The sequence below is a fragment of the Homo sapiens genome, chromosome 7 (assembly GCF_000001405.40).
Source record: "Homo sapiens chromosome 7, GRCh38.p14 Primary Assembly".
NCBI classification, from domain to species: Eukaryota; Metazoa; Chordata; class Mammalia; order Primates; family Hominidae; genus Homo; species Homo sapiens.
The window spans coordinates 116115109-116131242 of NC_000007.14; the positions used below are offsets into that span (position 1 = coordinate 116115109).

The window sequence follows — 16134 nt, forward strand, 5'->3', positions numbered from 1 at the left end:
TCTGGATGTTAAGATGTATTTTTCTATATATTGACTAGGAACACGGAGCCTATAATACTCATCACAGAAGTAATTCAGGCTCTTTAGACCTCAGTTATTTCTAATACATGGTTTCAGACAGTTTTGGATACAAACTACACTCGTTTCCTGTGGCTGCTTTTAAAAAAATTTACCAAAAACTTCGTGGCTTCAAACAACATACATTTTTTGCTCTTATACTTCTGTAGTAGAGAAGTTTGAAAGTAGTTTCCCTAACCTAAAGTCAAGATGTCAGCAGGATAGAGCTGGCTTTTTTAGGAGGCTTTATGGGATAATCCACTTTCCTGCTTTTTTCAGATTCTAGAAGCTGCCTATATTCTTTGGCTTGTGGCCCCTTCCTCCATCTTTGAAGTGTGTCACTCCAACCTCTGGTTCCATGGTAAGATGTCCTTCTCTTTTACTCTGACGTCTGCATCCCTCTTATAAGGACTGTGTGATTGCTTTGGGTTCACCAAAGATAACCCCACAAAAATCTCCCCACCTCAACATCCTTAACTTAATCACATATGCAAGTTTCTTTTGCCATGTATAGTAACATCCACAAGTTCCGGGGATTAGGACATGGGCATATCTGGGGGTTCATTATTCAGCATACCACATCCACTTTAAAAAGAAACATTATAGGGAGAGAATATAGTATAGAGTGAAAGCATAAACCAGCTTGCTTGCTTCACAGACACTTAGAGTGCTTTTTATATGCCGGATGTTTTTATAAGTGCTTAACAAATATTAGTTCATTATTACTCTCTACAGCCCTAAGACATAGGCATAATTATAATTCCCCATTTTTCTGATGAGAAAGCTGAAGTACAGAAAGGATAAGTTACTTGTACATGGCTTTGTGGTTATTTACAGCTGATATGAATCCAAATCATGCCTCTTAACTAGGTGACCTTGACACAGTATTTTCACTAGAAAGAACATATTTTACATGGTTGGTGTGAGTATTTAAATCAAATAATGTATATAAAGTGTTTATCACAGTTCTTGGCTCAAAATTTACTCATTACATGGTAGATAGTAAAATAACTATGTTAGAGACATCGACCAAAAAAATGGAAAAGAAGAATAAAAATGGTTAGGGAACTAGAAACACTATCATCTTAAAAATGGTAGTTTAGCTTGGAGAAGAAAAGAAGTATATGGGGGACATGATAGCTGTCTTGAAATATGTGATGAACTTTCATGTGAAGGAGAAGTAGATTTATTTTAATGTTCCCCCATAAAACCAAACTAAAACCTAAGGGTGGAAATTACATGGTGATAAAATCTGGCTCAAGAAAAAAGGAAATATCTAATAATTAGAGTGTTACACCAATGAAAAAGGCTGCCCCAGAGTTTTGTAAGCTTTCAGTAAGTTGAAATGTTCAAGCACAAGCTAAATGACTCTCTGTAGTATATAAAATAGAGAAAGGATTTCAACAATGAGAGGAATATTAAAATACATTCACGCATTTATTCAGCAAACATTTACTGACCATCTTCAGTGCACAGTGCCTGTAAGGCCCCTTACAACTCTAAAAATAATAGAATCTACTATTCTATGAATGAGCAAATAAGAGCACATGTCCCCAAAATGTACAGAATTTCTGGCTGATTCTCATTGAAGGGTCTACTGATTCTTTCAATCAGGTTCTCTAGTTTGTCTGGCATAATCTGCAATAAGCTTTATTTTCGCAGTCACTTATCACTAGTCACAGGAAGACTTTTTCTACAGTAAAGAATCAGTTCTTAATGGGAAAATCACTCAATTTTATATTCTGATGAAAGAGACTTTTCTCGAAAGGAAAGGATTTTATTTCATAATAGTTGTTTTTTCTTTCAATCTATGCAAACAAATGTAATAACATCTTTTAACCAAAAAATAAACAGAAAAAGAGGATTCCTCTCATTAATGTGGAGCATTTGCCATCCTTGAAAGAATCCAACAAAAATAAACCACTCTGTTGGACCCACAAATAAATTAATTATGGTGGAAACCTATTGAGTCTGATTTGTCCTGGGAACTATTAAGAGGTCGCCTACCTACTTCTCATTTAATCTGCTTGACTAAATAAGATTGCTTTGTTGGAGAATTACCTGAATTACACACAGAATCCAAGAAAGTCTCCAATTAATGACCAAAATGTCCCCAGTGTCTATACCATCCATACAACATTTCACCACATAGCAGCTGATGGCATTTATTACACAGCTGTTAGTAAGTGTCAGAATTAACCAGACAATAGGACAGACCTCTCCGTGATTTTTGCTGCTTACAATACTTTCTTAGCGGAAGATACAGAATAGGAATAATAATAACCCAAATACAAGTTGATTTTAATGAGCTCTTACCATGTGATGGTATCATCATAGGCAATTATTTCAATGACCGTGTCAAGCAGGAACCTCTCTTATCCTATCTAAAGAATGTGATGGAGCCAAAATTAAAACAGGGACGTGGAGTTCTCGAACTGTTATTGACTGATAAACTGCTTCCACAATCTTTAACCCTTTCCCTAACAAAGACGAATAAGTTAGAAGAAATACTGAACAGTAATTACAAATCTGTATTTTGATCTCTTTTACAGAAATAAACAGTGTGCCAAAGATGGGATTAGAACCTAGTTCTCTAGATACCTATGGTCCAAATAGCTACCAATTAAATTAAATGTAAAAAGCATTCTCAGCCCTGTGGGCTAGCCACATCACTGAGTTATTGAGTATCATGCAAGATTCTGTATAGGCAAGAACATTGCTCTAAAATATGGTAAATTTCCTTCTCTTTCCTTTCAAAATGCCCCAAGGCACTCGTATACATTGTGGACACCACCGGCCTGAAAATTCTCAGTTGAGGGAAAAAGAAATTCAAAATCCTTGAATTTATAAGAGCACTAAAAGCATCTAAAATGATAACTATTTTGCCCCTTTAACACCAAAAGATCAACTGATTTTTATTTTTCTCTTAGAGTTGACCTTTATTTAACCCATGGCATGCCAAAGTTATGGCCTGAAGCAATTTTTTCAGTGACTGCCTTGACTTGGGACAAGAATAGACATTTCACTCAACCTGTCTCTGAATCATCATTCCATATCACTACTGATGGTCAGTCTAACAAAGAAAAACCGTTTTCAACATTTAGAAAACACTAAAACTTTCTGTTGAATTATTTATTCCCTCCATTTCAAATAAGTTCGGACCTGCAAAATGTTTGCAAATTCTAAAATTATCAAATGTTTTCTCAAAGTTTTTATTAAGCTCTTCAATAAAACGTTTGTATTCAGTTATGTATAAAAAATAATGAGCTCATTGTGCCTGCATCATAAAAAGCTAAAACCATTTCTTTTGATCAGTTGACTACCTGCTGGCATCTTTTCCTAATGGGGAAATTAATTTTAAGGCTTTGTGGTACCTCTTTTGCCCCCTATATAAGTCCTGCACCTACACACAATTGTTCAGGACACTCTCACTATTTTGAATGTAATAAATGAGGTATATCTAAAGAATTTAGACATGATTAGTGGTGTCTAACACTTTTCCTCTAACAAAAACAAATTCAATAGTTGCATATTATGAAAGATTACAAAACGAAAGAGAAACGTGCAAAGATACAGTAGGAGATATTTAATTTAGAGATTAAGAATTTATGGCTATAAGCGCTGGGAGGCACATCTGTGAGTTATCCAAGGGAGAATGCAGATTCTCTGGAGGTTTATAATGACACAAATAGCTATGTTTCTGGGCTGGCATAAATGGGATCCTGGTTATAGGTCGGCAGCATAATAAAATAACTATCTGTGTCAAAAAGTCTAGCTCAAGGATTTCTACAAAAAACTTTCAATGACAACAGTATTTATATGAGCATAATTTAATATTAGCACAAGCATTTTATTGTGGATCATCTTTACCTGATTTTATTTCCTGAGCAGCATTGATCTTTAGAAAGTCAATGAAAAATGAATCAATATCTACCACACATTAAGCACTTTGCTAAGCATTTTATTTTTTATATCCTTCAATAAATTTATTAATGCTTCCCATTTTTACCAAATAGAGAAGCTGAAACTCAACAATCATAAGCAATTTGCCCCATGCTACACATTTAAGAAGTGGTATATTTAACCCAGACACATTTGACTTGAAAACAAATACCCCTAAACTACATTATACAGAAAAATAGTATTAGCAATAATTGAGAAAAACATGGATCTAGCCAATGCAATAGGTCTGGAAAGATAAATATGAATTAAAATTAATTTTAAAATATGCATTTATTAATTGTAAATGATACAAATAACTACATAGAAAATCTCTGAGAAACAACAAGAAAAATGAAATGAGAGCTTAAACACAATAAATTTAATGAATTAACCAAATCATACGTACAATATTTTGAATATATGTTAAAAAAACACTGAATTATACACTTTAAAAGTGTGAATTTTATTGTATGTAAATTGTATGTCATTAAAAAGTTAAATAAAATGATTACACTAGCCAGTTAATATGGGAGGTAAATGAAGTGGAAATGAGGACTATTCACCGATAATATAAATGTAAAAATTTGAACAATTTTTCTAGAGGGTAATTACATTTTATTTACCAAAATCCAGTTATTATATTTTTTAAATCTAAAGAGTTAATCAGAGATATGGCTTAGGTTTATATACAATAAAATTTATCATAGTCTTGTTTGAAATACTTCTCCCAAAAGGAATTTAAACAGTGGAAACTATATAAATCCAGGAATTTCTAAATATAGCTTGATACATCCATATAAAGTCATGGTTCAGAATAGTTAATTACATTGGAAATGCTTACAATGTTAAGTAAAACAGACAAGATAAAAAAAAAAAAAGTAACCAAACATTAAAAAGAAATTAGAGCTGCAGTGAATGTTATGAGAGAAGAGGATTTTTTTGCAAAAATATATTCGGTAAGATAAAGAAAACTGATGCAAAGTTGCACCTGGGCCTGGGAATGAATTCTTACATTTGTTGGTGGAGAATAGGCTGTGACTGGTATAACAGGGAGTCAAATGCTTTCTAGCTTGTTCTGTGTTTGTAGAACCCCTGTGTTTCAGGGAAGAAGATGGGCTGCTATTCCATATAACTTTTTCTCGGATAACCAAGACTTCTCCCTCCATGGAACCTTTGCAAAAGCTCCTTTCTCTCCATGGAATTTTCTTTTCCTAGATTTTGACTTGGATGGCTCTTGATGCACACTCCACATTCACATCTTCACTGAAAAGTCACTAGTTCAGTCAGGCTTTTTCTGCCCATTCATAGCAGCATGGCATCACCTGGGAATTTGTTGGAAAGACAGAATTTCATGCGCCACCCAAGACTTACTGAATTTGAATCTGCATTTTAATAACATCCCCAGATGACTCTCATGCACACTAAAATTTGAGAAGCACTGTCCTTACAGTCTGTGATAGAGACTGCATGCCAGCTCCCTGCATCATTTTCTCCATAGGACTTATGCATATCTAAAATTATTTATTTGCTTTCTTAAACATAGTTTCATTAGCATAGAATTTGTTTTGTCTTTTGCCTGTGTTCACAGTTCCTAAATAGTGCTTAATGTACTGCTGGGACCCAAAGAATATTTGTTGAATGAAAGCACAGAATAGGGAGAGGTATAGTTCAGTAATTTTGATTGAAGAAATGCCATTTTATATCTTCACTATCTAAATAACTCTGTCTTTGGGGCCTCAACTATTGATTAAAGCTATAAGAGCTAATAAATTGTGTTCCAGTCCAATGCATCATGTGCCTGTAATATTTACTGGTTCTATAAAAAACCCTACCTAATAACTTTCAGAAGGATAACCAGTATTATTATATGTAAAAATAAAAGTAGGTTGCTCAAAAAGTTAGAGTATTGCCATGTGACTCAGCAATTGCTCTTCTAAGTATACACCCAAGAGAATTGAAAACAAATGGTCAAACTAATCTTATACACAAATGTTCATAGCAGGATCATTCATAAGAGCCAAAAAAGTAAAAACAGCCCCAAATGTTTATCAATGAATGAATAAATCTGCAAAATGAGGTATATACCCTCAATGGAATATTATTCATCCATAAAAAGGAATAAAATACCATTAATGTTACAACATAAATGAACCTTGAATATATTACATTAAGTAAAAGAAGCCAGATACAGAAAGCTGCATTTTGCCACATATTGCAAAAGCCACATACATGAAATGTCCAGAATAGGCAAATTCATAGAAACAAAAAGCCAATTAGTGGTTGTCAGAAGCTGGAAGGAGGGAGAAATGGGGAGTACCTGCTAATGGACACGGAGTTTCTCTCTGGGGTGACGAAAATATTCTGCAATTAGATAGTGATGATGGTTGACATCATTGTGAATGTACTGGAAGTCCTTAAATTGTACACTTTAAAATAGTTAAGATGGTGAGTTTTAGGTTATGTGAATTTCACTTCAACAAAAAATAAATATATAGAAGCAAATTACTATTTTAAGACATAGTGGCATTAAAATATATTGACTTGCTATCCAGAAATTTTGTTTTACAGACTCACTATTTCAGAGGTCAGGGTGCCAAATGATTAATATTATGTGACGATTATCTTTTTCAGATAGAGATAAGACAGGGAAATAAGGTAAAAGAAATGAGTCTGGGATTTGCCTAAGCCAGGACTCAAATTCCTTTGATCCTTGGCTAAAAGCCCTGATTGGTCCAAAAGGTCAAATGGAAAGGAAAAAGCACTCAAGAATAAATCAGTAAAATAAAAAATTCATTAAAATGTAGCTATTGGGAGGAAAGGAAATAACCTTCCTTTCTTCTACTAAAGAGTGAATTGACAACCTAATTTTCCGAACAGGTAACAAATGTATAGCTGTAGCTAGGTGCCCAGAATTTCTTCTCTACAGGGAAATGTTGGAAATAAATTATGGAGGAGTCTTCAGACTTACTGAAGCCACTGAAATTGTAATTGTTGTTACAATTGCAAGGGTTTATTAAAGATCATCAGGAAACTTGGCATTAAAAAAGTGTTTGGATAGATAAGACCCCTGTTTGCACTTTAAGCCTTTACTGTTAATTACATGTTACTGTGATTAAGCACTTCAGAAGTGACTTTTATGAACTGTGCTATTATTTCATTTAATAAGAACTTGTTATAAAGTCACAGGTTAGCAAAAGTTCATTAATAAGTTCAATGTTTGGAACTCAAAAAGCATTTTCCTATGGAGCAATGTTAGCCATGGTGGTTAGGTTTCTATGTAAGTGGGGTCTAAGAAATCAGGTAAGCCATACACACCTGCTCCCGTAACACTGAACAGCACACTACACGTTTTAAAAGATTTCCATGGAAACATGCATTCAGCATTCTGGGACCAAGACATCTCTTCCCTCTACTGCATTAGTGATGCTTGTTCATTCATTCATCACTGAATCACTCATTCAACAAGCATTGGCAGTGTCTGCTATGTACCAGGCCCTTTAGCAAGTTATATTCCTTTTTATCTGCCAGGTAGCAGGCTTTCTTCAACTTGGAGGAAGTAACCATTGGCTTAGCATATGAACTCCAGCATATAAGAAGCAGAAGATGAGGTTCTAGGGCAAGTAGAAGCAATGAAGGTTAAGGACGACTGGAACAAGGTGATGGCAAGTGAATGATTATTTAGCCCAGCTGCCTATGCCCCTTCCCCCCACTTTCCTCATTGTGGCCAACACTGGTGTTAGTGTGGAAATTCTAGTGGATGACTACAATAAATGTCAGCTATGTAATAGATGCCCTTTCCCGCTTCATTCTCCCTTAGAGCAGTGCCCAGGGTTGGGAAATGCCAAGTAGCCAAACAAGCGTGAGAACTGAGATCTACATTTTTTTAACCAATCCCCCCATCTTACTTGAGAGTACAAATCAAAAAGAAAAAAACAGAGAAAGGAAAACATTAATGAACATATATCCATAGTTATGAATGTTATATATCAGGGATTGTGTGAAACAAAAACAAGCAATTGCTGAACTCACATTTTTTTAAAAAACTACAAGTTACCAACTAACAAAGATCACCACCTAGTGGCCCCAGCAAGATAACTGCACTTGAACAAGATGCATTGAAATTCAAAAATATTGGGGGTTTGTTGCAAGAACGTAAGGTAACATTGAAACACTGAAGCCTCTCCTTTTGTCCCTTGGATCCAACCTCTCCTTTTTCTTTCATTCTGAGTCAGTTTCTCTTAGTTTATGATTCTAGTTTGTCTTGAAAGCATTCTATTTGCAGTTACCTTTAATCTTTGCAATTAGCTACTTTGTCATCTTTTGAGTTCCTCATCTTTTATGATACACCACAAGCCCTTCTGAGTCTTGCCTGAAATAGTGGGTTTAAACATCATTTTTGTCATGCCACTTCCCTACAAAAAAAAAATTGAATGCTTACGTGGATCCTGTTGTCACTTATATCAAGCCTGGTCTAACCCGCATATCCCCACACTCCACTTTTGCAAACATAATGACTGCCCACTGGGTACTTTTCTTTATTGATGCTTCACCACACTCAAATCTCAAACACAACTGCCCTTTTTATCTATTTCTGAGTACTTTTATCAAACTCAAATTCCACCTTTTCATAACTTTTCCCCTACTACTCCTATCATGTTCACTTCCTTCTTCTCTAAGTTCTTACATTCATGGTTATTAACACCAAGTTTATGATTTAATTATTGTCTAATTGTTTTATAAGTATTATGTCTGCAAAGGAAGTTCCATGGTTTAAATGTGTCTATATCTGCCACAAATCTTAGCATGATATTAAACATAACACAAGAGCTCAAAGAATAAATGACTGATATAGAAATGGATAGATTAGAATTCCTGCAATTAAAGGACTTTTAGTTGTCTATGGGTAAGTGACAAGGAAAGAAGAAGGAGAGTACAGAGTGGGGAAAGATTGCTGGAACTATATTCCATGAGTGGAAAAAGATTAATTTTATCCACCTTTATTATGTAAAATGCCAGTGACAAATTGAAAAGTTATCTCCCAAAATGCCAGGATACATTTAAACATATTCCAAAACATATAGTATAATATAACCACGAAAGTTTTTAATGGAATATAGTTACTTTGGGTGCAGACAGTGAAAGGAGCTCACTCAGACAAAGAGAGGGAAAAACGGGGGAAAAAAGAAATTGTTATTAAACAGGTAATGAAATGTTAACTTGCATTCTAAGGTAGGACAAAGTTTTACTTCTTGGGCAGCAGCATAAAATCTGCTCCAGGGATGTGAATTACAGATACGTTAGGCAACTGCACACTGGAAATAGCAAGACTGGGAGAAAGTTCTATGCAATCAAACTTTGGCGTATAATTCAACCAACTTTGAATGTGAATGGAAATATTTTACCCCTAAAATGTGAATAATAAAACAAATAAAATATTAAATAATCTACTCAAATGAAGAAGTCTGCAGAATAAGTAATGTGAACTTGAAAAATCTCATTAAGTGTCACCAGAATTCTATTTCTAGTGCAACTGCAAGTAGTTTTATAACTAGGTCTCCAGTAAAATAATTAGACTATTTTAAGGGGTAGCAACTGACTCTATCTTGAGGAGAGGAAAGAAAATGCTTCTCCTATGTAAATTTTCCCCCAATTTTTCAAACTGACATTTTCAAAGGCATCATAGAAGGACAATTACTTCTATGCTGTATATATTGCTGTTTTACCATAAAAGAGCACTATGTATGCAAGGCACTGTGCAAGCTATGGTAGAGGTAAACAAAGAATGCAAATGGCCTGCATTATATCCTCAAGTATCTTACTAGGGTGAGAAGATCCACATGTATTCAATAGATAATAATTCTGTAATTAATTTTTAAGAAACTATACCACATATTATGCAGACAGCCTGAATTTTCATACTTCAACAAATACTGAAGGCCCACAATTAGAAAGATGTTATAAGATGTTTTGTGAGTACAAAGTAAATCCATTACTCAACTGGCCCTCAGCAACAGTGAGTATAATAAGAAATGGACAGCAGGTACCTCAATAAAGATGAAATTACTTGATGAAAGAAGTATAATCTGTGATTTATCTTAAAATGCAGGTGTGGTTTAAATATGCAGGGTTGCAGGGTATTAGAGAAAGCATTGGAGGCAGACTTATCACATACAAAGGCACTGAGTTGATAAAGCAAGGATGGGTGTGAGAACTTAGTTCATTCCTTTTAGTATGATGTATAGAAAATGTGACATGAAACAATAGGCAATGATGTTGGAAAGCTGACTTAGAACTAGAGTATGGAAGATATTAAATTCCAAGTTAAGAAATTTGGCTTTAATCTATCAAACTAAGAATCATCGAAATTTTTGAGCAGCTAAGACCATCATGGTTGTGCTTTGGAACAATTAGGTAGCAATGCATGAATTGGTCTTGAATAAGGAAGCATGGAGAATACATTAGTTTAGGAAAGAGGTAATGTTGGCGGAATGTATGGTAGTGACCGAGATAGAGTGGAAGGGACAATTCCAAAAGATCCTACACAGAAAAAAGAAAATTGACTGAGACTTGGTTGATTCAATTAAATATAAAGAGCTATCAAGGATGAACTCAAAACTAATGCCATTTAGAGAAACGAAGACCAAAAGAGGGTAAGGTTGGTGCCTCCGGGGATTGGACAACTTCAGTAAGACATATTTGCAGCTTGAAGTGCCTTTCAGAAGAAAATATCCAGCTGACAGTTAACAATATTAAACAATTGAGATGAAAGCTAAGTTGTGATTTGCAAACCATCAAGAGCCAGTATGAAAGAACTGAGCAAACTGAAATCTCAGAGCTTGTACAGGACAGCAAGGAGAGCCACCCTGATACCACAGAGGCCCAGTAGTGAAAACAGATCATGAGAAAATGTGACTAGGATCAGCTAGCTTCCCACATCCCCACCCTGCATTTGGTCCTCTTCAAATATGATAGGGATTTACACATTGGAGAATTTAAGCCAAGCAGTATAAAAATCTCCCAATAAGAAAGGTATAAGGAAAAAAACTCAGAAGAAAATGAGAAAATGTGTTCAGGGGATAAAAGAAAAAAACAAAGCCTGAAATTGATAACCTCAAAATAAAACAATATCTTTTATGAAATAAAAATCCAGATGCACTAAAAATGGACAAATCAATTTTTTACTCACTAAATAAATGTAAGGGACTATCTTAAAATGCAGAAATAAAAGAGGTTGATGGAAATAAAAGAAGGGAAAAAGTAAGATAGAGGTTCAATCATGGAAGTATAACATTAAGTAAACTAATAGGAGTCCCAAAAAGAAAATAAAGAGGGCAAAGGGATGAACAAAGAATAAAGACATTATTTTTAGAACTGAAGCTCATTAGTTTCCAGATGGAAAAGGCCATCAAGCACCCAGCCCAAGAGATGAAAAAAGGAACACTATCAAGAAATTTTAGTGAAAAAAGAACACAATAGCAATACACTTTCAAAATCTGAGAGAAAATGACTTTTAGTATATAATTATTAAATTAGTAATTAGGGAGGAGCGTGGATAGAAAAAAGGACATATTCAAAAAGGTGACATCTTAAAATTTTATTTCCCTTTTACACTCCTTTGATCCACCACTGAATGATATACCCCAGTCAATTGAGGGAGGAAACAAAAAAGGAGCAGGGTGAGATTGAAAAAATAAAAACTATTTCAACAAAAAGAGAACAAATGATACCTAAAGAACCACTGTCCCCTGGGTACACAAAACAACCTGTCCAGATATTGGGACAAGAGAATGAAGGACTCCTGAAAAAAGAACCCTTCGACAAAATAAATTAAATAAATAAATATTGCCAAATACGGATTTCTTCCAAATCTCCAATGGTAGTAGATTCTAGTTTATTGGGCTTTACCTTAATTTCAACCTTTCTGACTGGTTTTGACTTAGATGAAGCTCCTGAAAACAGTACATGTCTGGGCTTTGGTTTTTGTTTTTGTTTTTTGTTTTTTGTTTTTGAGACGGAGTCTGCACTCCACCCAGGCTGGAGTGCAGTGGCGCGATCTCGGTTCACTGCAAGCTCTGCCTCCTGGGTTCACGCCATTCTCCTGCCTCAGCCTCCCGAGTAGCTGGGACTACAGGCACCCGCCACCACGCCCAGCTAATTTTTTGTATTTTTAGTAGAGACGGGGTTTCACCATGGTCTTGATCTCCTGACCTCGTAATCCCCTTGCCTCGGCCTCCCAAAGTGCTGGGATTACAGGCGTGAGCCACCGCGCCCAGCCTGGGCTTTGGTTTTTTATCCGATGTAATAATTCGTGTCGTTTAGTTGATGAGAATAATTTGTTTACTTTTACTGAAAGCAGTGATATGTTTGCACTTACTTCCATTGTCTTTTCTCTGTTTCTATTCTTTTAGTGTTTAGCAAATGTATTTACCTCTAGACTTTCTAACAAATCCCTATTTGTTCTATTTTTTTCTTTACCTTCAAGTACTCCAAGATTACTCATTGAATTACTCATTGAATCCATCCTCTCATTTTGCTATTACCACCACTGCACTCCAGCCTGGGCAACAGAGTGAGAGTCAGTGTCAAAAAAAAAAAAAAAAAAGATAAGAATATTGGGAATAAAAAGGCAACTTATGTGAAAGAAGACATAAATTTGAGCCTGTTTCCCTTATATTTCTAAGTAATGGCTTGTCCTCCATGTTACAAATTCATAGCATGTTATGGCTTATCTATGTTGCCTTTTCTAGCCCACACACCCACACCCCACTTTTATGTTATTCCTGGTTCATTTACCTCTCAATGTTTTTGTCAAACTACTCTTTTTTTAATCCATCTAAATATATGTACAGTCTTTGAATTTATAAGGCTTTTCTAAATATACTACTAAAGCCAGCCAAAAACCACAAGAGAAAAGATCAGCTACTAAAAAAGCAGTAACTCAAATTACATAACTTTTCTATTGCACAAACTAACATGCTCTCATGTAAAATGCAAAATAGTCAATAAAGTTGAAACTTGGGCACACTAATTTGAAATCACATTCCACATACCCAGGAAGTTTAACCAGGTTAAACCACTCCCAGCAAAACATAATATATGAAACAAAAATATTTAAAGCTAGTAATGAGAAAATAATGATCAGCTTAAAAGCAATGAGAAATAGAATAATTGAGACTTTTCATTGGCAAAAATGAGGCTAGAAGACAATGAAGTAGTAATGAGAAAATAATTATCAATTTAAAATTTTATACCTAGCTAAGCTGACACTCCACGGTGAGGGCAAAGTAAATCAACTTCTACACATACAATAACTAAAAGAATTATTCAACAAGAATATAACTGATGCCGGGGGAAGGTGTGGTTTATATGAAACAATTATGAGCATAAAAATGATAAACTATGTCAATATAACAATTTAACTATTTTTATATAAAAATAACTAATTTTTATTTTTATAAATCAAAGCTAAACTAAAACTCTAGACTAGTGCTTCTCAAAGTATGATCATTTGATCTGCACCTGTGCATGAATTACTTGTTATTGATCTGCAGTACTTACAGAAACTGTGTGAAACTGTTTTAGATATTTGACTGCCTCAGTGTTACTGACTGAGGAAAAAACAAACTTTTACTACTGATAGTTTGAGATGTGTGTTTCTGGGTGGTAAAAGCAAAATGAGAGGATGGATTCAATGAGTAATTCAATGAGTAATCTTGGAGTACTTGAAGGTAAAGAAAAAAATAGAACAAATAGGGATTTTTAGAAAGTCTAGAGGTAGATACATTTGCTAAACACTAAAAGAATAGAAACAGAAAAAGACAATAGAAGTAAGTGCAAACATATCAGTGCTTTCAGTAAAAGTAAACAAATTATTATCATCAACTAAACGACACGAATTATTACATTGAAAAAAAAACCAAAGTCCAGACATGTACTGTTTTCAGGAGCTTCATCTAAGTTAAAACCAGTCAGAAAGGTTGAAATTAAGGTAAAGACCAATAAACCAGAAATCTACTATCATTGGAGATTTGGAAGAAATCCCATTTGGCAATATTTATTTATTTAATTTATTTTGTCGAAGGGTTCTTTTTTCAGGAGTCCTTCATTCTCTTGTCCCAATATCTGGACAGGTTGTTGTGTATACTCAGGAGACAGTGGTTCTTTAGATATCATTTGTTCTCTTTTTGTTGAAATAGTTTTTGTTTTTTCAATCTCACCCTTGTCCTTTTTTTTTTCCTCCCTCAATTGACTCAGGTATATCACTCAGTAGTGGATCAAAGGAGTATAAAAGTAAAATAAAATGTTAAGATGTCACCTTTTTAAATACGGCATACAGAGAGCATTAAATGTCACTGTGTATTAAAGATAATATAATAATCCCCAAGGCTCACCAAGAAAATAGTAAAGGAGCAAAATCTAGAAAACAACCCTCCTTGCATGGTGTTTTTCTTGCTACCTTTGTATTCCCAATATTCTTACTTTTTTTTTTTTTTTTTTTTTTTTGACACTGAGTCTCACTCTGTTGCTCAGGTTGGAGTGCAGTGGTGGGATCTCAGCTCACTGCAACCTCTGCCTCCCAGGTTCAAGCAATTCTCCTGCCTCAGCCTCCTGAGTAGCTGGGATTACAGGTATTTGAGACCAACCTGGCCAACATGGTGAAACCTCATCCCTACTAAAAACCCAATATTCTTACGTTCTATAATTTCTGAGGCTAGTTCTTAGCCAAATTGTGGAGAAGATGGGTATCATCATTCTTCCAGATGCCTTTTTCTGATGTACATTTTCCCCTTCAGTGGTGGCTTCCTATCACCATAAACTTTCTATCACCATAAACTTCCAGTGGCTCTCCTTCCCCTCATGCTATGATGCTTATTATTCAGTCATTTTTTTCTGTATTCCTGTCTATATCACTATATTCCTGCCACCAAACATGCAAGAACACACACACACACACACACACACACACACACACACACACTCTTACTTGAAAAACTTATTTTTGTTCACTTTTCCAGATCTGAAGCCCCATCCACTAGAAATCTCTGATTAACCAATTGTGGGGTGTGTTGTTTTCTCTTGAAAGTTTCCTATATTCTCACTAACACTGCATTTATCACAGAGTGCTAGAAGTTTGTTTTCTTATCCATTCACTAGCTAGACTATGAATTTCATGAGAGCTGAGGCCTAATCTGACTCTTTCATTGTTATCCTCAACGTGCTCTTTATGGCAGCATGACAAATATATAAGCAAACATGTAAGCAAATGGCAGAAATTTTCTCAAATGCAGAGAGAAGGAGATGAAAATGGTAATATAGTAACCTACAAGAAAATAATACTACACAGTTAAAACTTGGTGAAAGTCCTGTGAAGAAACCGATAAGAGACAAGTGGTCAGAATCTCGAGTTTAAAAACATACAAATTTCCAGATAATCATTCCAGTTAGCTCATTTAGAGCTTACTCATGTGTCTTCAGTCCTGCTGTCTTTATTCTGCACAATATTTCTTTTTTGGGGTAGAGTGGTGGGGACAGTTTCCCTTTGTTGTCCAGATTGGAGTGCAGTAGCACAATCCCAGCTCACTGCAGCCTCAACCTCCTGAACTCAAGCAATCCTCCCACCTCAGCCTCCCATGTAGCTGGGACTACAGGCACAAACCACCATGCCAGACTAATTTTTCATTTTTTGTAGAGATAGTGTTTCACCATATTGCTCAGGCTGGTTTCAAACTCCTGGGCTCAAGCGATTTGCCCACTTTGGCCTCCCAAAGTACTGGGATTATAGGCATGAGCCACTGCACTCAGCTTGCACTATATTTCTCAAAGACTTCATCTTCATTCCCTTTGCAGAATCTTTCTAGTTAAAATTTTCTATAAAGTAGTATACACACAAATTTATGTGACACTGTATGGATGAACTTTCCTTTTACTTTAATAGAATCTACATTAATGTGTATTAATACTAATTATATTTGGTACGTTTAAGACCCAAGATCTGATTTATGCTATTGCCTTATGTGCAGCAAATTTTTAAAAGTAAGTTGATTTATAAATAATTATTAAATATACAATCTAGTTGGAAAACAGATGTGACTGCATTTTCACATCATCTGTAAACTGAGCCAATATGTCATCAAT

General features: G+C 35.0%; 1 protein-coding gene across 13 annotated transcripts in view; it reads right to left on the reverse strand.

The window, feature by feature from the left end:
• Positions 1 to 16134, reverse strand: part of TFEC (transcription factor EC) — a 224745-nt gene that overhangs the window by 179957 nt on the left and 28654 nt on the right. For 3 of the 13 annotated variants that reach the window (XM_047420054.1, XM_047420050.1, XM_047420051.1), the window contains exon 2: positions 5012 to 5321. The exons of the other annotated variants lie outside the window; for them this stretch is intronic. The gene's annotated coding sequence lies outside the window, so the exon portion shown is untranslated. The remainder of the gene's footprint in view (positions 1 to 5011; positions 5322 to 16134) is intronic. 13 annotated transcript variants of the gene reach the window in all.